General features: G+C 35.1%; 1 protein-coding gene and 1 pseudogene across 131 annotated transcripts in view, besides 1 other annotated feature; one reads left to right on the top strand and one right to left on the bottom strand.

Moving 5' to 3' along the window:
- Positions 1-21,444, bottom strand: part of MBNL1 (muscleblind like splicing regulator 1) — a 222,149-nt gene that overhangs the window by 123,023 nt on the left and 77,682 nt on the right. For 10 of the 130 annotated variants that reach the window (NM_001387797.1, NM_001314057.2, NM_001387791.1 and 7 more), the window contains one exon: positions 7,528-7,647. The exons of 110 other annotated variants lie outside the window; for them this stretch is intronic. In NM_001387797.1, the coding sequence (NP_001374726.1) occupies positions 7,528-7,533 (6 nt within the window). In that variant the 5' untranslated portion in view covers positions 7,534-7,647. Of the gene's footprint in view, positions 1-4,084; positions 4,641-7,527; positions 7,648-17,240; positions 17,380-21,444 lie in introns of all 130 variants that reach the window. 10 more of the 130 variants (NM_001387811.1, NM_001387806.1, NM_001387815.1 and 7 more) reach the window with 6 other exon arrangements.
- Positions 1,768-3,060, top strand: TMEM14EP (transmembrane protein 14E, pseudogene; annotated as a pseudogene). Its single transcript, NR_132656.1, has one exon. The product of NR_132656.1 is annotated as a transmembrane protein 14E, pseudogene (transcript).
- Positions 18,994-19,043: an enhancer, noted in NCBI's record as "active region_20708". NCBI's record gives its function as "activates an Ori minimal core promoter by ATAC-STARR-seq in GM12878 lymphoblastoid cells {active_cell/tissue: GM12878}" and the evidence as "EXISTENCE:reporter gene assay evidence [ECO:0000049][PMID:35858748]".

The raw sequence follows: 21,444 nt of genomic DNA, 5'->3' as shown, positions 1-21,444 counted from the left end.
ACCTCAATTTGAAAGTTTGCCCTAAGCCACTAAACTATGCTACTTATCCCTTCAGCACATACATGACATCCTTATTTACTCATCTAAAAGTTATGGTTAGAGTTGAGAGGTAGTGTTATAATCCAGAAAGAGCACGAGTTTTGCTTTGTAGGTCCTGTTGTTTGTGGAAAGTGTGTGTGTGTGTGTGTGTGTGTGTGTGTGTGTTTTGTTTAGTTTCCCAGTAAGACAGAGTTGGGCCTGAATTCTGACTCAATCTTTTTCTAGTTGTGTGACCCTGGAAACATTACATAATAACATCAATAATTTATTGGCTATTTTCTATATGCTAGCCATTGTGCTAAGTGCTTGGCATACTCTGTCTCGTAAAATTAAATCTTCATAAAAACCCTGAGAAGGAGACAATATTATTCATATTTTAGACAGGGTGGGATTATTGCTGAGAGAGGATAGGTCAAATAGCCAGCAAGTGAATGGCAACCCAAAATTGAGTTGGAAGGAGGTGCAGACAGAATCCCCTTGCTGGTACCAGGCTATGAAAAGGGTTAGGACTGATTTGAGAACTGGCACTCACTGCCAGATTTACAACTAACAAGGACCTCTAAGGATGGATGGACTCTGGAGCCACACTTCCTGAGTTTGAATCCTGTGTCCAGCTGTGAGGCCAAGTTTCTCTTGGTATCAGTTTCCTCACTTGTATAGGTGAAATAATGCTAACTACACCTCAAGGTGTTTTTGTGAAAAATAAATAAAATAATCATTGTAATGGGACTGAAGGTAAAAGGTAATCCATACATTACTACCATTAACTAAAGACACCATTTTAATTTTGAATAATTCTGATTCAGTGAGCTTTTATTTCCACCTAAAAATAATAAACAGGAATATTTTGTTTTTGAAGTGAAACAGTCCCTTAAAGTACCAAAAATGTCACTATCTGGGCTCATCCCTATATTTGCCACCTCTTTTAGCTGCTCTGTACACACTTTATTTTTAAATTTATTTTCTACATGGATATGCCTAATGAGGCTGAGAAATTTATTACAACAAAGGAAATAATCGTATCATAAAAGGCTTATATTTGACATTACTCAATCTCAATTATAAACATTCTCCTCATTGCCTACCGGTATGGACAGCTCCCATGCTCTCCAAAAACAGAACAGAACAGAAGGGAGAGAGGAAACAATGGGAATTGAGCAGTACTAGTCTTATGAACAGAGTGATGGCAGAAATTCTTATAGAAATTATGACTGCGATTGAGACCTTATTTTGAGAATTAACACTCACTTCTAATACTTTCAGTGATTAAGTACTTCATACTGTTTGTGAATTAAGTGTTCTAAATTCCCACTCTAAAAGTACTTAAACTATTTTTTAAAATTAAACTTCCAAGAAAGAGAATTCATAATTTACATTCTTATATTTGTTTCATTTCTTGTCCCAAGGGAATTTAAGAGTTCTAGAAATAGAAAAGACAAAATGCACTCTATAGACAAACTTGCAAATAATGCTAACCACTAGCTTGAGACTGTGCCACACATTTTAAAAAATTATAAACTCACTATAAGTGTTAATAAAAGCATGAAAATTTCACTTTTCTGTTTTTATATATGAAAGAATTACCCATTTTAATGCACTTCAAAACATTTCATTTAGTTATACTTTGAAGTCTAGAGGGAATAAACTTGAATGTTTTCATATATGAATAAAATGCTTTGTTAAACATCTTTTCATTTTAAAAAATAAGCATCGTACAGTTTGTGTCCCCTCATCAATTTACCCAGACCTTCAGGAAAGTGGTATAGGTGCAGGCCTGCTGCAGTCTCCTGTCTGGAGAGAATTAGAAGAGAACAATGCAGATGGACCCTGGCCCACAGGTGCCTTTATACTGGCTTGGCTTTGTCTATGCAGCACTGGCTGCTTTAGGTGGGATCAGTGGTTATGCAAAAGTAGGTTCTGTCCAGTCCCCTTCTGCTGGATTCTTCTTCAGTGAGTTAGCAGGCCTGGATGCTTCTCAGCCATCACGGAATCCAAAGGAACATTTGAGTTCTCCCGTTTACATCTGGGATCTTGCTAGGTATTATGCGAATAAGATTCTAACACTCTGGAACATTTACGCTTGTGGGTTTAGTTGCAGGTGCCTGCTGATAGTTTCCAAACTTGGAAGTATGTATGGTGAACAGATCCTGTCAGTTGTAGCTATGTCTCAGCTTGGACTCATGAAGAATTAAAAATCTCCCAACTTCCACTATTTTTAATATACTCTGAGAAATAAGTCTATAAATTCACATAGTCTGATATTTTACTTAAAAAAAAAATGGAACTGAACTTGGCAGGAAAAAACTCAGTCATTGTCATTACAATCTTACAGAGGTGGCAAGTATACACCACAAGAGATTACTATTGTTCAGTTTTTGCATGTTGATATTATCTCCCCTTTTTCTTTTTGAGACAAGGTCTCACTCTATTGCCCAGGCTGGGGTGCAGTGATGCCTGCAGCCTCGACCTCCTGGGCTCAAGCAATACTTCTGCCTCAGTCTCCTGAGTAACTAGGACTACAGGTGCCTGCTACCATGCCCAGTTTTTTACTGTTGTTGTTGTTCGTTTCTTTATCTTTGAAGAGACAATGTCTTGCTATATTGCCCAGGCTGGTCTTACAGCCTCAGGCAATCCTCTGGTCTTGACGTCCCAAATTGCTGAGATTACAGGGATGAGCAACCATGCCTGGCCTTTTTATCTCCTCTTTCTGTGTCTATAGGTAAAATCTCAAGGTAGAAAATAATAGATGTCAACACTGGGGAATCTGAAACCTCATGCCCTACTCAGAAGAAAAACACGAAAGAAAAAGCTCTTTGAGATTTAGGGTATCTGTTCTTTTGCTCATCTTACAGCACAGAGCTACTCTGAAATTATGTTAAATGAAATATCAATAAAAATAAAGTTTACTAAAAATAAAAAGCATCCTTAATAAACACTGTCAAAGATCAATATTTTTCATTTTGTTCAGCTATGAGTAAACATTTTCCTTCATTTTTAAAAATTAAGTTGCATTTTTGGCCATTGAAATTAAAGGGCTCCAATGTGGTAGTAAGCTAATAGCGTTAATTTCAACAAGGGGAAACCATTTAAGGAATTAAGTTAATATTGAAAAGAAAACAAATGGGCGAAAAAAAGAAGACCTAAACTGACAGTAAGGCCAACAATGATCTCATATTAGAAGAGGTGTCTTAATATCACTTCACAGATTACTGCCTGAAAATAGAGGCGGGGGAAAAAAAAGAAAAGGAAGGGGGCACTGAATAACAGCTGTCACAAACTCATAACACTGAAGAGGTGTTTTGTATTGTTAACTTAAGATGCTGCTGATCTCTCTCCCCTACCCATCATACACACACACACCCTTACCACCTCTCCACAAGTATCCTCCATTCAGGTTATTTATATCCATATGTAGTGAATTTTTTTCCCAAAAAGTTTTTTTATTTTAATTTTTTTCCCTTTAAAATCTAAAAATAAAGCAAGAAATCACCATAGTTAGAATACTAAGCAGTAACTTTTGACAAAGGACAGTAATGCATCCCTAGCACTACCAACTAAGATTTGAACTGCTCTTCTAATTCCTTTTGAATTAATTATGGATTTAAGAATTTCAGCTTGAAGAATTTGAAGATATATTCATTAAATGTTTTTGGTTTTAAATATTAACACAGAGGCAAATAAAACATCGGTATTTGAAAAAATAATTTCTATTTTATCTTTAACCATTTTAATTCTCAACAAGATTTCTCTTACTAGATATACAATGCAGATTGTGAAAAAGTGCTTCACAGAGTCCGAATAAAAAAAATTGAATATTTAAAAATCTGTTCCATGCCAAATTTAATATAAATAAAACTAATGTGAATCTCACACAAAATTCCTATAAGAGTTTTTAATAAATAGTTCCCTAAGACTCATATTTTGGTTTGATCAAACACAGAGTTTCCCAAGGACATTCTTTAACTACTAACTTATATTAAATCCATAGCTACAGGGTTTTGTTTTTAGCTTCTAGAACGGCTTCCTAGAGAAATCAGAATCTTACCTTTACATATCTTCTGGAGAGGTTTCTTGGTGCTTTGAAAACTCCTGAGGTCTATGTCAAACAGCCATTCTCTTCCTCCCAGAGTCTTAGGGGCTTGGAGAAATCCCAACACCTGCTGCTACCACTGAGTGTCCAGGCTAGGAAAGTTTCAGGGTTTTGACAGCAGGATCACTGAGCCACAGCCAAAGCTTGGGAAGCCTTAACAACTGAAAGCAAGTGTAGAGGGCAACATGGTACCCAGCACGGTGCTCAACTGTAGCAGCAGGGGGAGGAATATTCCCCGCTTTCACAAGGGTTTAGAGGCAGCCATCACAGAACCCAAGGTTCTGTCAATGGACAGGGCTAAGGAAGTGGAGACATGACCACGCAGCACAACACCCTGGGAGAAGAGGAACAATTGGCACAGAGCTCAGGTAGTGCTTGAAAAGAATCACCAAGATTCCCGCCAGAACACAAGAAGCAATGGAGAAATGCAACAAAATACATGGAGATAGGCCATTCTAGCATCCCATACATAAGCCAAAAACACGGATGAAGTGGGTATGGAGATTTAGTTCTAGAAAGAAAAGTAAGGAATACATATTATAGCATGCCTACGGCATTTATGGTTAAAAATCTAATAAGTGACATAAAATTATTATATCTTGTCATCGCAATATTTAATTTACAAATACAAAAAAAAAATCCCAGGGTGCTGATCCGCAAGGCAGCAGAAATTAAAAGGCAACATTATTGGGAATTAGATGAGAAAACGGAAAGACAGAGAGAAGGTTAAACAACTGATTTTTAAATTGATAAATAATTAAAATTGTTTTTAGTAAGTACAATATACATTTTATCAAACTTATCACTTTCTGTTATGATCAGATGAGGCAGACGGAAGAAATTCAATGAGATAAGAGAAGAATACAAAGAAGAAGCAAGTAGATAAGCAGTGCAGAGATGAGAAGAACAAAAGATGGAAAAAGAAAAAGGATAAAGAAGAGGAAGGACAGAAAATATAACTAATTTAGTTAGTTGGTGTTTCTTTTCCTTTTTTTTTTTTTTTGAGATGGAATCTCACTCTGTTGCCCAGGCTGGAAGGCTGGATTGTAGTGGCGCAATCTTGGCTCACTGCAACCTCCACCTCCCGGGTTTGAGCAATTATCCTGGCTCAGCCTCCCAAGTAGCTGGGACTACAGGCGTGCACAACCACACCCAGCTAATTTTTGTATTTTTAGTAGACAGGCCTTCACCATGCTGGCCAGGCTGTTCTCGAACTCCTGACCTCAAATGACCCACCTGCCTTGGCCTCTCAAAGTACTGGCATTACAGGCGTGAGCCACCGTGCTTGGCCAACTAATTTAGTTTTGATGCACTGTCAGATAGACTAATCACTGTCTAAGATTTTCCTGAATCTCTGCTTCATGTTATGCTTTTCAAGGAGATGATAATAGCTTGTTAACCACCATTCACAGCTCTTCAACTACTCACAAGCCTTCAAGAACTCACCTTAAGGAGCCCACTGAATATTAAATATTAAACAGCTACAAAAGAGTGCTACTAAGACAATTTTGCTTTGATGAGCTGGATAAAATCAAGTCAGAGGTTCAGTATAAACTCTGACAGGACTTTAATAATTCCTAATATGTATGAAATGAAAATGAAAATGGTCAAAATCATTTAGGAACTCTCAATTTTTCAAGACTCGAAGCAAATTAACCATGGACTTTATACTTGAAATTAGTAAAGAAGAAAAGCTATTGCCTAAAAGCAGTTATGTGTGTGTAATTCTTGACTTCGGATATCTAATTTCTTCTATTCCAAGGTATTTAGTTCTAAGGTAACTAAAATAGTAACAGTAGTCTATTTTACTTTGAGACAAATGGTTCAAACTATCCTGTGTTGGGAAAATTGATTTCTCCCCTCACCTGCAAAATATATATTCTAAGTGACACAGGAAATAAAAGCTATCAAATAGCTTGTGCAAGGTTTACTTCTGTCTGATAAGTCACTAAGAGTTAGACATTGTTATAAAATGAAGTAACTCCCACCTTATGACATGTTAAGTACTGCCTAAGCAGTTAGTATTTTAAATTTGAGGGAACTGGGATTTTATAAGAGAATGAGGAATCTAAATTTTCCTTTAAAAATACTTTTTCATCTTAGAGACAGTGCCTAAGGTTAGATTTTGACTTAAACTAAACTTAATTTTTTAAAAATATAATCATGTCAATGTGATAGGTTTGAATGCAGAAAGATTGTGTAAGCCTCTATGGCAGAATCCAAATGGAGGCTGACCTTTTTTTAAAGGTAATAATTTGACTTTAAATAAAAAATTAAAAATCAATTGCAGTTTGTATTCTGCACCTATGCTCTTAATCCCATTGGTGAAAACCAGTTTTTAACAATCTAAACAACAAAAATGAAACAAACCCCCAAAAAAGTGGAAGAGAAGTAAATAAACATTGTCAATCAGAAATTGTAGGTTTATTCACTTATGAAGCTCTTCAGATTACATTTTTGAATAAAAATTATGTTGTTATTAAAGTATCTTACATAAGATCAGATCATCTAAACAAAGGTTTTCATAACTGTTGTTAAGCATCGCAAGGGGAAAAATTTTTGATGAATGTGCTCACAGTTATATTTCCAGCACCTAGTTTGCCTAGCAACATAGTAGGTGCTCAATAAACACTTACTGTCCGGTAGTGCCACATGTGGAAAGGCACTCTTCATGAAAAAAGAAGAGTTGAGGAGAGGGGGTTGGTCAAATGAATCTGTTAAAAGTTGAAGTTAAACAAGTCTGTTCCCCCATGACTTGGCAGAACCTTTACTATGCCACTGTAAGTTCCCAAACATAGCTCTTACCGTTTTTATGGGATACCTATTAACCACAGAATAATAATTCTAAGAAAATTTGACCTACATCTCTATGATTAACTTAAAATTCTTATTTCTTCCAATTTTTAATTGGACAAAAGTAAACTATTGACATGTTTGTGTCTGATGTAAATCATAAAAGGGAAGATAATTTAAAATCCTATAATCTACTGTTGTGAAAAAAAAAAGGTGCTCAATTAGAATTGAAAGGAGGAACAACTGCTTTCATATACCACAGAGTTATTTTTAAAAATCACTGTAGGGCAAGTCAAAAACAAGAGTAGAGATTAGTGACTAAGAAGTTACATGGAAAACTATGCTCCATCTACTGAAGTACTGAACAAACTTCAATATTAGTATTTCAAGTAGTGAAGCAGAGAATAAATGAGAACTTTATGGAACATATACAGAATCACAGATCAGATCACCAATGTGAAAACCACGGTTCCTCTCTAAAACAGTTTCTAATGTACAGAATACCAAAAGCCATTTCCCATGGATGTCATCTCAGGCCTTGAGCGAGCAGGCCTACCCAAATGGTATCTTAGCAAACTGGCTCCCCAATTGCCTTATTCACTCACCAGCATCCATTAGCCAACTCCATGCTTTATCTTCCATAGATAAGATACAGCTTCTTCTTGCCATGGTGCCATGAAAAGGATCCAGAAGGTTCCCCTTAAACAACATTTCCTGAGTGACTGCTGCAGCACCAAGAGTAATGGATATGCCAGGTCAGCCACTTTTCCTTCCCAGCAATATTAGCAGCAGCAGCAGCAGCAGAAGCTGGAGCAGACCATTTAGACCCATCTCCTTGCAGGATGCTAGCCAAAGCATTCTTATTTACACCTACAGAGAGTTTGCCCGTACGTCTGCACCTTTTTCAGAGTGTCAAAACAGGTGTTTTCCTGTGATCATACTGAAAATCTGCTCCCCAAACGAGGTGATGAATACACTGTTACTATGAAATTCTAAGTTTCTAATTCTATGGAAAAACATGCTCTTAAAAGTTTACTTTATTATAAGGAAGACTTGATGAATCCTTTTTAAATTTTCATTCATCCTTCTCATTCCCAATAAGCAAATAATTGCCCTAAAATTTCCTGTTAATGAAAGAAAGAATGTTACCATATAAAATAAATGTCATATGCAATTTTGGTCATTTCTTTCATAATATTCTATCTGCCATCTTGGCACAGAAACAATTTTACTGAAAATTCTAATGTTTTCATAATCAATACTTCCAACCAATGGGAAAATATTAGGTCTCAGACCTTTATTTTACAGAAGTAATGACTTCCTTGCTCCATATTTCATTTCCATTTTGATGTTTTTGATTATTTGCTTTTCTTTCTAGTGGCGTTCGACTTAACCAGTGGCTACAATGTGGCTGGACAACAGAGTTAAGCAGGTTCCAACATTAATAATGCATTTACCTAACTGATTTATCCAGAGCTAAAATCCTATAGATATAAAAAGCCATCTACAGTTTTTTTGTATAATTTAAATATCTCAACAAAGGATAAGTAAAATAACAGGTTATTCTTTTCCTAATCATTTACCTATTAGAGAAAAATTATAAACACCAAAGCATGTGTTCTTTACACAGCAGAGAATAACACTCCTCATTAGCAAAACTGAAAACCCTATATAGGCAGATTCTAAGTATAAAAGTATTGCATCACAGTGTTCACTTCATCATGACAGAATTAATAAAACAATAGCTAACACACACTGTAGACTCATTAAGTGCCAAGCACTGTTCTCTGTGCTTTATACGTGTTATCCCATTTAATTTTCACAACTCCTCTAAGGATTAGATATTAGTACTGCTCCCATTTTGGAAACAAGGAAACTGAGGCTTAGTTAGGTTACATAACTTCTTCAAGGTCACAGTGATTTGAATGAAGATTATACAGTTCCAGAGCTGGAGCTCTAAATTATTTCATTAAAACTCCACCACTAATTTTGATTTTCATTTATTTGTATATTGCACATTTATTGTTAACGAGACAGACATTTTAAAATGTTTACATAAAATTAAGATTTAATAACAGCAAATAATATCAATGGTAAGGTAACATTGTGTGCCCTGAAATTCCACAAGTTCTTTACATGTATTAACTTATTTAAGAGTCACAATAACCTAACAAGGTAGACACATTGCCATTTAATAGGGTATATCTGATAAATCTGAGGCATATAATGTTAAGTTGCCAAAAGTTATACAACTAATAAGTAGCAAAGATGAAATCTGGACCCAGAGAATGCAGCTCCTGAAATTGTGGTTTTATGCCCACTCTCTACTGACACTTGAAAACTGATGAAGTGTTAGAACTCTTCAAAAACAAGAGTAGGAAATGTCGTGTTTGGCCAGAACCCTGGTGGCAGGAGCATCTGATATCCCTGTCTTTTTCCAAAAACCTAACTGTGTACAAATATGCACACAAACTTATCTTATATGTGTCCATTTCTCTTAATGATATTTACCAGCTTAAGAAATTAACAAACATTTTATGTGATTCTCAGATTTTTCAAATCAAGGACAAATTCAGTTTTCACATTATTTTTCAAGTGTATCTTATCTTCGGAGGCATTAACAGGGCAGTAACATTATTACCATCACTGTATCTGTCATTCTGTTTTGGGGGATTACCATTGTTGCCAATAAAACTTACATTTCATTCCCATCCTTGGCAAATTAATTTAGTTACATGCAGGGTCCAAACAATAATTATGAGTTTAGAGAGAGCTTCAGAAAGCCAGCGATCATCTGTAAGGTGTGGGCTGAAACCAACATTGGAGGAAGGTACGGCCTTGATTATTCAGCAACTGAAATGACTTCCTTTAATTAGCTCTTGAGGACCCAAAGTGGGCCATCTGGGTTAATTTCAGTCAGCTCAAATCAAGCACTCAGGTCCCCAAATGTTAAGACTGAGAAGCCAGAAGAATACTGAAACCAAGCTATTTCTTTAGTTTGGCAGCAAGTCTAACTCTCTGGACTAATTTTGGCTATCTTCAGCTTTTTTTAAACTCTAACCTAATATAAACTAGTGTGTGCGCATGCGCGCGCGCACACACACACACACACACACACACACACACACACACACACACACACAAAACCATGAAAACTTCAAAGAGAAAATACTCTTATGGTGAAGGCACCTCCCCTCTGTCAGAATTTAGCCATAAGCTGTAAGAAATACAGCCATTTGGTGGCATTTACTAAAAAGAACTTATTTAGGTGCCCATGTGGCATAGCTTGAGGTGGTGTGTCATTTACAGTTTATTTACCTTCAATTATTTTTATAATCAAAAGTTATCATAGAAGGAAGATGACAACTCTGTACCTAATTGCTAGACAACTACATTTTTTTGCAGAATTTCTTGGGTAGTCATGTTATATATTGCACCCACATAAGCTTGATTTACTCTTTGGCTAACAACAGATTTAAATTTGTTTCAGTCTCCAACTTTAACACTGAATTTAAGCAAAAATTATTCAAAAATTCTAGAAAGCACATTTTGACATCTTATGAGTGAGGAAAACAAAGTAACTCCACAGGCTTTTACATAAGATAGATCATAACAAATGATTTTTCTGACCTTGGCATTACCACGTGATAGACTAGGAGGAATCATGACTCTTTTATCCAGTCATCTAAATAAACATAGATAGATACAGACATACAGATTCCAACTGCTCAACTTAACCATTATAGCTATAGTTTTTATTTCTCACTGATGTCAATGGCAATGCAATCAGCTGCATTAAAGTTTCTGATCATTTTAACAAACTTCATTTTTAAAGAGGTATCAAGGCCGGGAGCGGTGGCTCACACCTGTAATCCCAGCACTTTGGGAGGCTGAGGCGGGTGGATCACTTGAGGTCAAGAGTTCAAGACCAGCCTGGCCAACATAATGAAACCCTGTCTCTACTAAAAATACAAAAATTAGCTGGGTGTGGTAGTGGGGAGGCTGTAATCCCAGCTACTTGGGAGGCTGAGACTGAAGAATCGCTTGAACTCAGGAGGCAGAGGTTGCTGAGATCATGCCACTGCACTCCAGTCTGGGCAACAGAGCAAAAACTCCATCTCAATCAATCAATCAATCAATCAATAACATTTGAAGTAATACATGTAAATGAGTAAGGTAACAGCTTCTTATTCATCAACCCTTACTGGGTCCGCTTCCTTTTATTTAATTCCTTGGACATGGCTTTACCGAGAAATAAATGAATTAATAAGCATAAACTCTAGGCCATACTTAGGTCAAAATAAGTGAAGTTACAGTGAGCTCCTCAGATTCTTCTAGAAAGTAAACAACCCATCAATCTTTAATACTAAGTCATCTGAATATGAACTAGCATCCTAAAAGTGAAAAGCTCTAATGGTACATTACAAATTCCTGAGTCATTTTGTCCTCACAACTTTATGCTTTAAATAAAACTGGCTAAAGAAAATCTACAAGTGACTCAGTATGACTTAGTGTTTCCAAACCAGGAAAAGGAAGGACTTTCAGTGTTTGAGATAAGGTTTTTTTCTGTAGTTTGGAAAATAAACATTTCCTATTCAGTTATGCCCAGGGGCAGGGTGTGTGTGTGTATGTGTGTATGTGTGTGTGTGTAGGGGAAGGAGTGTCTGTGTGAGTATGAAAAGAGAAGAAGAGCAGGAACGAGGGAGTAAGACAGGGAAGGAGAGAGGGAGAAGGGAGAGAAAGAGAGGGAAAAGGAGAAAAAGAGATTTTTTTAATCAGTATTTGGTGTTCACGTAAAATGGTTACTTTCTGCAAAAGTTACCTCAGCAAATTATGTGTAAGCAAGCCATGGAAGCACTGCAATTTGTAATAAAATCAATGGGAATGGCTTACCTGACTGTATATAGTAGATAATCCTTATCTATGGGGAATACATTCCAAGACCCCCAGAGGATGCCTGAAACCATGGACAGTAACAACCCCTAAATATACTATTATTTTTCCTATACATACCTACAATAAAGTTTAATTTATAAATTAGGCACAGTAAGTGATTAACAACAATAACTATAATAAAACAGAACAATTATACTGTAATAAAAGTTATGTGAATATGGTCTCTCTCTTGGTTTCTCTGTCTCAAAATATCTTATCGTGTTGTACCATGGGTAACTGAAACTGCAGAAAGTGAAATTGCAGATAAGGGGGGATTACTGTATTGCATTCTGTACTGCATTTCCATGAATTCAGTGACACACAGTGATGTATTCCATGTCGTTATAGCAAATAATAATCTTAGGTGTCTAAATTAGACTGAATTTTTTATTTCAATAGGCATAAGCCATTTTCTGCACCTAAATGAAAGTAGCATTTTTTTTCCTGATATAAAAATGGGCAGATTTTTGTCCTGGTGTCATGCTAATATAACCCCAGAGGTGGCAAGCATAGTGGCTCAAGCCAGTAATCCCAGGACTTTGGGAGGCTGAGACAGGAGGATCACTTGAAGCCAGGAGTTTGAGATAACCCCAGAATTATCTACTTTATTTAAAGTACATTTTAGCTGGGCAGTGGTGTGCATCTGTAGTCCCAGATACTTGGGAAAGTAAGGCAGAAGGATCGCTTGAACCCAGAAGTTTGAGACCAGGCAGGACAACACAGATTCAGTCTCTAAATAAATAAAATACCTAAGAACACTCAGAGTGGCTGAAAATGTGTTCAGCAAAATCTGTTCCACTAATGTCCCTAATAACGTCAGTAGAGACTAGGGATTAATGAGACTACCAATAAACACACATACACACACATGAACATACACACAATGTTTACTATCTTGTTTTCTGTTATAAGGATTGCTAAATATTTTTGTATGATATAGACAGTTACAATTTATATTTTTTAGAGAATTCATAGAAATAATCCTTAAAATATTTAGAGATTGGTACTCCTTTGACAGATAAATAAATGCAAAAGTGAAAATTATTTCAAACCAATAGCACATATATCCCATGATATCCACAATGGTTTTATTTTATCCATCACTTGAAAGTAAAAGAACTTTGACCGGTTTTGAAAGAAATTATATATATATTTCTTATATATATTATATATTATATATGACATATATATTATATATATATATAATATATAAGATATATATATATAAGATAAAATATATATGTATATTTCTTGAGACAGGGTCTTGTTTCATTGCCCAGGCTGGAGTGCAATGGCTGATCATGGCTCACTGCATCCTTGACTTCCCAAGCTCATGCAATCCTCCCACCTCAGCCTCCTGAGTAGCTGTGACTACAGGTGCTCACCACCATGCCTGGCTAATTTTTTTTCTTTTCTTTTCCTTTTCTTTTCTTTTTGGTAGAGACAGAGTCTCACTATGTTCCTTGGGGTTGTTGCAAATTTCTGGGGTCAAGAAATCTCCTGCCTTGGCCTCAGAAATGTATTTTCTTGATTTGCATTTGACATTGCTGTCTGACCGAAACCAATTCAGCTCCACAAAGGAGTAAATATAAGTCTTTTTATTTTAACAGGCATTTTATAATCCCTAACAAAAATTTTTCTCCATTTTTTTCTTATTGTTAACATAAAATTTAAATTTTGATATTAAATGCTACCAGTATTATTCCTTTTTCAAAGCCCAGTTTAGCTCCCAAATAAGCTCACATCTGTCTTTTAGCCCTAGCACTTCCAGTTCCACATTCCTGTTTAAAGTACTTCATCCCCCTGCCCCTACCTACTTTTTTCCTTCCAGAAGTGACTAATCTTCCTGTTATTCTACTCTGTCAGTTTTTCCCCTAGTATTCTTTTCATGTTGCATAATGTTTACTTTTCACTAGCTCCTTCTATAATTTTACTACCGTCTCCCTTGGTACTAGCCTTCCGTTTTCAACAGATTAAAATAGCCAATATTTATGTATTAGCAAACTTTTTTGTCAAGTTTCGTGCTGTTCAGATTAAGCTATTTCCTCAAGTCAAAAATACAACTAATCTTTTGATAGAGTAAATATTGTTTTTAAAAAAATCCATATGTTGACCTTCAAAGTTAAATTCAGTGTAAGTTTTAGAATTAACAGATATCACAATTAAAGGGCTAAGATTTCAAATTTCCTGATAAGGTACTCCAGCAAAGCAAACAGAATATCACTCCTTTTAAAGATCTCCTTCTTCCTAGTACTTCTCCGTAATGTCATAAAGCATGTTAGCAAAGTCTTATAAATACAATGTAAACTTTTTCCATTCTTCTAAATTTTAGTTATAAAATACATTTTAATTATATGTCAACAATTTGCCTCAACCCTAATCTCAAATATCTAGAACAGCTATATCACATTATCTAAACATGAGTAAAAGCTGAGTTTCTGCTTTAGAGAAAACATCTCAGAAGATGTTTAGAATTACAGTAATTACTTAAATAATTACCTATATTCTAAAATTCACACCATAGTATCACATACCTAATAAAATAACAACATAACATAACCCTAGATTAACAGTGCATCTTTTGGCAGATTCAATATTATATCATATTTTTTGTGTCAGTCACAGGATCCTTTGGAGAAAATAATGTGTTACTAGTCTTACTTACATTTTCTATCAATATAAAACGTTCACAAGCCTTTAGAAACTGTACATTTTCTAAAATCCAAAATTACCCTTAATAAATCTTGGCAAAACACACACTATAGGAGATAAAGACATCCCTAAAATTTCACTCTAATTTACTGAAAATAGAAGTCAAATTAAATTCAAATGTTGGCTTACATTAAAATAGCACAGGATCTTATAATTTACTTTTAATCTTGGAGGAATTCTCATTATTCTCTCATCAATTCTTCTTCAAAAAAATAAATTAATAAAAACTTCCTTGTTTGTCACATACAGTGTCCTAAACAGAAACATCTGATTTTTCTTTGGGTCAGCAAGAACAACTTAACTTCCAAATTCCTTTATGGCCACTATTTTAGACACTAAGACCAAGAACTCCAAAGAAAGCTATAAAAAAAAATGCTACTATATGACTATATAGTAGCATATATATATATAGAAAAAAATATAGTATATGATACCAAATATTATAGTTTACAAAACCACATTCATATACAACAGGTTCAATTTTTTAAATCACATCACGAGTGGAAAAGAAACCCAAACTATATATTCTAGGAAAAAAGCAGCCGGTCACAGTGGCTTAAGCCTATAATCCCAGCACTTTGGGAGGCCAAGGCAGACAGATCACTTGAGGCCAGGAGTTTGAGACCAGCCTGGCCAACATGGGTGAAACCCCATCTCTACCAAAAATACAAAAATTAGCTGGGTATGGTGGCCCATGCCTGTTATCTCACCTACTTAGGAGGCTGAGGCAGGAGAATCACTTAAACCTAGGAGGCGGCGGTTGCAGTGAGCCAAGATCATGCCACTGCACTCAGCCTGAGTGACAGAGTGAGAGTCTGTCTCAAATAAAAAAAAAGAAAGAAAGAAAAGAAAAAAGCAGGGCTCATATCTACATCCTCAGGGACTAGCACAGAGCTTGATAAAAAAAGACAGATGCCCAATAAATATCTTCTGAGTAAATAAATTCAACCATACAGAGGCACATTAATGATAAACAAAAAGGAAGGAAAGAAAACTTTTTTGATAATATTACCATAGGAACAATGTTATCAAAACATATTAATCAAAAAAAATTAGGAGAAGCAATTCAAATAATTTATCAGCCGAGCGCAGTGGCTCACGCCTGTAATCCCAGCACTTCGGGAGGCCAAGGCAGGCAGATCATTTGAGGTCAGGAGTTCAAGACCAGCCTGGTCAATATGATGAAACCCCATCTCTACTAAAAATACACACAAAAAAATTAGCTGGGCATGGTGGTGCATGCCTGTAATTCCAGCTACTCGGGAGGCTAAGCCAGGAGAATCACTTGAACCCAGGAGGCAGACGTTGCAGTGAGCCAAGATTGCACCACTGCACTCCAGCCTGGGAGACAATAGTGAAACTCTGTCTCAATAAATAAATAAATAAATAAATAAATAAATAAATAAATAATTTTCCCAAGGGAAAAATTTTTTAGAAAAATTTACTGGCATCCTTGATTATATGTGTAAGCTTATTTAGATCTTATGTTAGAAGAGAATATCTGATTCTGAAAATTGATAAATATCATGCATTTTTTCCCTTTTTCTGATATAAACTATGTTTTGAAGTTGACCATTAGTTACTATGAAAAGATCTTTATGAAAAAAATTCTTGATAATAAACGCAGCAGAAATTATATAATTAAAAGTCACCATTTTTGCAAACTCTAAAAAATATCATGGCTACAAAATGATCAACAATGAGGTGAAATCATTGGATCCAAGTCTGATGGAGAACTTTATAAGGATTGGCCCAGGCCAATCTGATTCACTGATAGATTGCAGCATCATTAAAAGCAGGGATTACTAAAATTATGTCCTCTTGATATGATGAAATAGAAAGTATACAGAACCTTCCAGGAAATGTTCCCCCCAAATAATAATAAATAACATTAAAGTTAAACTCGACTCTAATTTTCAGTTTACAGAAAATAAGGATGATGGAAGAACAAGCTAAATGACACCATAGATGCTAACTGGAAAAACGTACCTATTAAAAAAGGACATTGCTGTGACAATCAGGAAAAGTTGAACATAAAGTGGCTATCAAATGATACAATAAAATTGTCGTCAATTTTCATAGATTTGGAAATGGAGTTATATTTAAAATAAGTTCTTAACTGTCAGAGATACTACTGAAGAAGTATAAGTGACATGATAGGATGTCTGAGACTTCTTTTAACATGCTACAGGGGTAAAAGGAGTGTGAAAGGTAACAAAAAGGGCAAAATGTTGGCTGATGCACATACGGATACATGCATACAAAATGCTGACTGATAGATATATGGAGGGGGTTGTTATATTGTTTCTCTAATATTATGTACATTTAAAAATTGCCATAAATTTTTTAAACTTAACAAACAAAAAAGACAGAAATCACAGGGGAAAAAAAAAAAGAATGAGTTCATATCTGGAAGAGCAATTAAGGATTTTTTTTTTTTTTTAATATTTCTAACCTGAAGTCACAAAACCTGGTTTACAAACAGGGCTTTGCTACTTACAATCTGGCCTAGATAACCTAAATCAATGTATTTGTACATAAATACATAAATGTCCATATCTGTAGCATGAAAATAATTGACTTACCTACTACAAAAATATATAGTATGTAAAAATTAACTATAAACTAAAAAAAATAAAATACAGATATCTTCAATATATTTTGTGTTTACCTTCATGTCACATGTGTATGCATTATCTCTTCAACCAAATAGTAAGGTCTCTATGAGTGAAGTCCATGTTCCATTCCTTTAACCAGCAAACATTCAATGTACACTTCTAGTCAGTCTACTACGTGTCAGGCATTTCTTACTAAGAGGTTAAGAACACAAAGGTGTAAGTCGTAGGCTGTGGAATCAAATGCAGAGATGGAGTAAGATACATAATTATTATGATTCATACTCCAAACTACATAAGCAAAGAGGCAAAACAGTTATGTGGCCAGGTCTAGAGTGAGGAGAAGCTTTCTAGAGGAGGGAATGTATGAGCCATATATAAACATGGAAAAGGTCTGCAAAACTCATGTAGGAAGAAAAAAGAGTCCCAGGCAGAAAGACCAAAAAACAAACAAAAACAAATGAAAAAAAAGCGGGCGGGGGGGGGCGGGTATGTGGCATTACATGGGAACATCAAAAGAAGTCATTTGCCACAGGTCAATGTGGCTAATAACTTGATGTGGGAGGTACTGAGTCTCAGTAGATGACCCACTGTACATGGCAAAATGCTAAGTACTTAGTAAGGGATCAATAAATATCTATTAATTAAAGTACAGAGAGATAACAGGTAGCATTATTTGAGTATTCATTCCAGGTCATTATGTATTCACTGAAATAAATGTGTTTCTTATTCAACCTCACATCAATCCCAAGGTACGTGCTATTATTATCATCCCCGTCTTACAGATAAGGACATTTGGGCACAGAAAAGCTAAGTAACTTTCCCAGTTACTCAGTTGGCAATTGGTATAGTGAGTGATGTTCTTAGGGTTTTAAACAACAAAATATCTGGAAATAAAATTCTACATGGCTATTCCTCATAATAAAAGTATTTTTAAAAAACGAAAAAGAACACTATAAACAGTGAGTGCTGCTAAAGGTTTAATAAGTGGTTGTCTAGGAGAGAACTATGGTTGCCATCTGCCAATTTCCAAAGTGTAAACGCTCTCACCATAGCCAATTTTAAGCTATCAACAAAGACATCATTGAACATGGAATTGGGAAGAGGTCTCGACATAAACCAGTTCCAGCACTCCACTGCCTGTAACCTTCAACAAGCTATACAGGCAGAGTGACTTTAACAGACTAACTACATGACCAGGAAGATAACAAGTAAATCAAAGAAAAGGTGCAAAACTGCTATCTCTCTTGTTTGCAAGACTCTGTATAAGTCATAGTCAATTTATATTTGAAATTAATAAACTCCTAAGGAATATAATGTGTGAAAGGCAATGAAAATGAATAAGTAATTCATAGACATTCCTCAAGGTAACATACATTTTCTATGAATGACAGTTGACATTTATAAAGTATTCTTTATATGTGATTAATGAACTGTGATTAGTAAGTGATTTCCTGCTAAACGATTTCTCCCTCAAGGGGCAACACAAGAGGATTTATTTCCAACTAGAGAAGTTGAAAATGAAAGCACAGCTGAAGGAAATGAAGTTATCTGGGTCAGCAACAGATACTGCAACCGAAAACGGGGATAATTTTTGCATACCCTGTGCTTTCAAACTGCATGTCATATAAAAGGTGTTGAATGAATAGTGATCATAAGAAAGGAGGGAACAAAACCAATCATAGAACTAGATTTTTTCACTAACTATAGTCAATAGCTGTATAACAACGCTTCAGTCAACAAAGGACCCACATATATGATGGTGGTCCCATAAGATTACAATGGAGCTGAAAAATTCCTACCACCCAGTGACATTTGTAGACATCATAACCTCATAGCACAACACAATATCTTTTCTACGTTTGAGTATGTTTTGATACACAAATACATAACATTATGTTACAACTGCCTACAGTATTCAATAGGATAACAGGCTGTATACGTTTGCAGCCTAGGAGCAATAGGCCGTACTATACAGCCTAGATGTGTAGTAGGCTATACCATTTAGGTTTGTGTAAGTATACTCTATGATGTACACACAACAATGAAATACCCTAATGACACACAGAATATATCCCCATTGTTAAGGCATGACGTGTGTGTGTGTGTGCACGCACGTGTGTGTACATATATATTTTTTAAATTATTTACAGTTAGTGACTACAGATATATTTATATAAAAGGGAGTTCAAATTATTCATATTTGTATGTTTACACTATTTCTTTAAAAAAATTCCTTTAGGTTATTTAACAATATTGTTGAATGAATAAGTCTAGTTAAATGAATTTTATATGGGTATAAAAGGGAGTTAGAATTATTACTATATTGATCCTATCACTTTTTTAAGTTCCTTTATCATTTAAAAATAATGTCCAATGAGTAAGTACATTTGGATAAATTTTGAATTAAATATAAAATCTATTTTTTACATAGAATGCAAATGTAATGTTAAAGAGAAGTAACCAGTAATTGCAAAGCAAAAAATGCAAATTCTACACAAGTTTACTTAGGCAGTTAGCAAACTGAAACCAGTATAACCCCATTTTTGGCATGTGGCAAGTCTGTTGCTGACCTGTTACTGAATCTGGCTCCCACAAACCGTCAGTCTATTACTTAACAGTATCCTGGCTTAAATAGACTCAATAAAACAAATGTAATTCACTAGCACTGTCTCATGCTTATTAAATTCATATGCAAAACAAATCCAAAATGTGCCTTGAGCCTTGTTAAGAGTCTATACATGTTGCTTTCTGTTGCTCTTCTTGTCACAGTAGTAGGATGCACAGATCTTTTATTAGGTCAATTTAACTATTGATTTCTACTCTTAGCGCTTAAAAAATGCCAGAAAAATGTTAACTTTTTCAGTCCACTGCTGCAGGGGAGAAAACCTCACAAAATTAGTGATTATAAATGAAAAAAATCAATCAATAAAACTGTCACGTAAAATAACTCATACCAATCTTGTTACATATCAAAACTGACATTTTTTCCCAGCCCAGTTATCAGACTGAGATAATATAGATGTATTTTTTAATCTTTGTGGTATCGTAATTAGAATAATTCAAGTTAAATGATTTTAGTGTTCTATATACAAGGCTAGTTTGCATTTCCGTGACATAGCCTTTCAAAAAGGGAGCTGCGTCAATTTTTAATGAAATGCATGACCTAATTTACAACTGTAATGACTATAATTAGTCTAATAGTTTGTGTTTTTTTAATCTTGGGGATGGGGCAAGGAAAGTTATGGCATGGGTCAGGAGCTATGAACGCTGGTGATGTACCACATTCTATTCCATTTTAAATTTAATACAAATAAAGTAATATTTATTGGAAGGCTACAATGTGTTAGGCTTAAGAAGACTAAGGCACGGCCTTATAAAGCTTCCAGACAGGGAACATGGAGTTAGAAACCTAACAGCAATGGTCTATATTAGGAGTATGACAGAGTTCTAATGTTTTTCTCTTGTCACTGCATTTTTATGCAGTACAAAAATATGGTTAAAAAAACTCTGTTTTCATTATTTTTTAAAATATCTATACTATAATAACATAACCTGGCTTTTAAAACAGTATCTAAAACAAGAATAAACAGTCTCTGTGTTTGGAATAGATTCTCTTAGGAGATTACTGATATGTCCAGATTTAAAAAACAAAGAACAACCATAACAACAACAACAAAACCTCAGGATAAAATAAATACCACTATCTCTTTCAGTTAGTTTGAAAGTAGATCTGAATACATTTTCTTTTGAAATTGACATGCCACTGTGTGCAATGCAAATAGGAAGCAAGATTGGAAATACACAAAGGCAGAATTACTGAGGAAAAAAAAATCCTTTAAAATTTGATGGAGAAAGGGACACCAGGCTTGATCTACTGTCTCTTGAGCATTTTAATAATTTCCCAACTTGCAAGATTAGAAAATTAGACCTGCTTCTCAATTACTAACGAATAAAATGAATGTAGAAGGAAGACCTCTACACTCATCTCTTTTAAATGCTGCATGAACAAGAGGCTCACTGTTCAAGACATTAAGTATTGCTTCATGGCAAGGGGAGATATTCTGTAAAGTTGTATCATTTTTAAGATTATTACCAGGGACTTACCCTCTCGGAAAACTCACCCTATTTGCAGAAAAAGATGACAGAACTAAAATAATGGATTAGCAGAACTTTACTCTCTAAGCAAATGACTTTTATAAAATCTGAAGTTCCCTGAAGAAGGCCAGTAAGTCTCAATGAGTAACATATCACAATGCT

This window comes from Homo sapiens, chromosome 3 (genome assembly GCF_000001405.40).
Source record: "Homo sapiens chromosome 3, GRCh38.p14 Primary Assembly".
In the NCBI taxonomy this organism is placed as follows: Eukaryota; Metazoa; Chordata; class Mammalia; order Primates; family Hominidae; genus Homo; species Homo sapiens.
The sequence above is the reverse complement of the archived record's forward strand: the minus strand, read 5'-3'. Positions and strand labels throughout refer to the sequence as shown.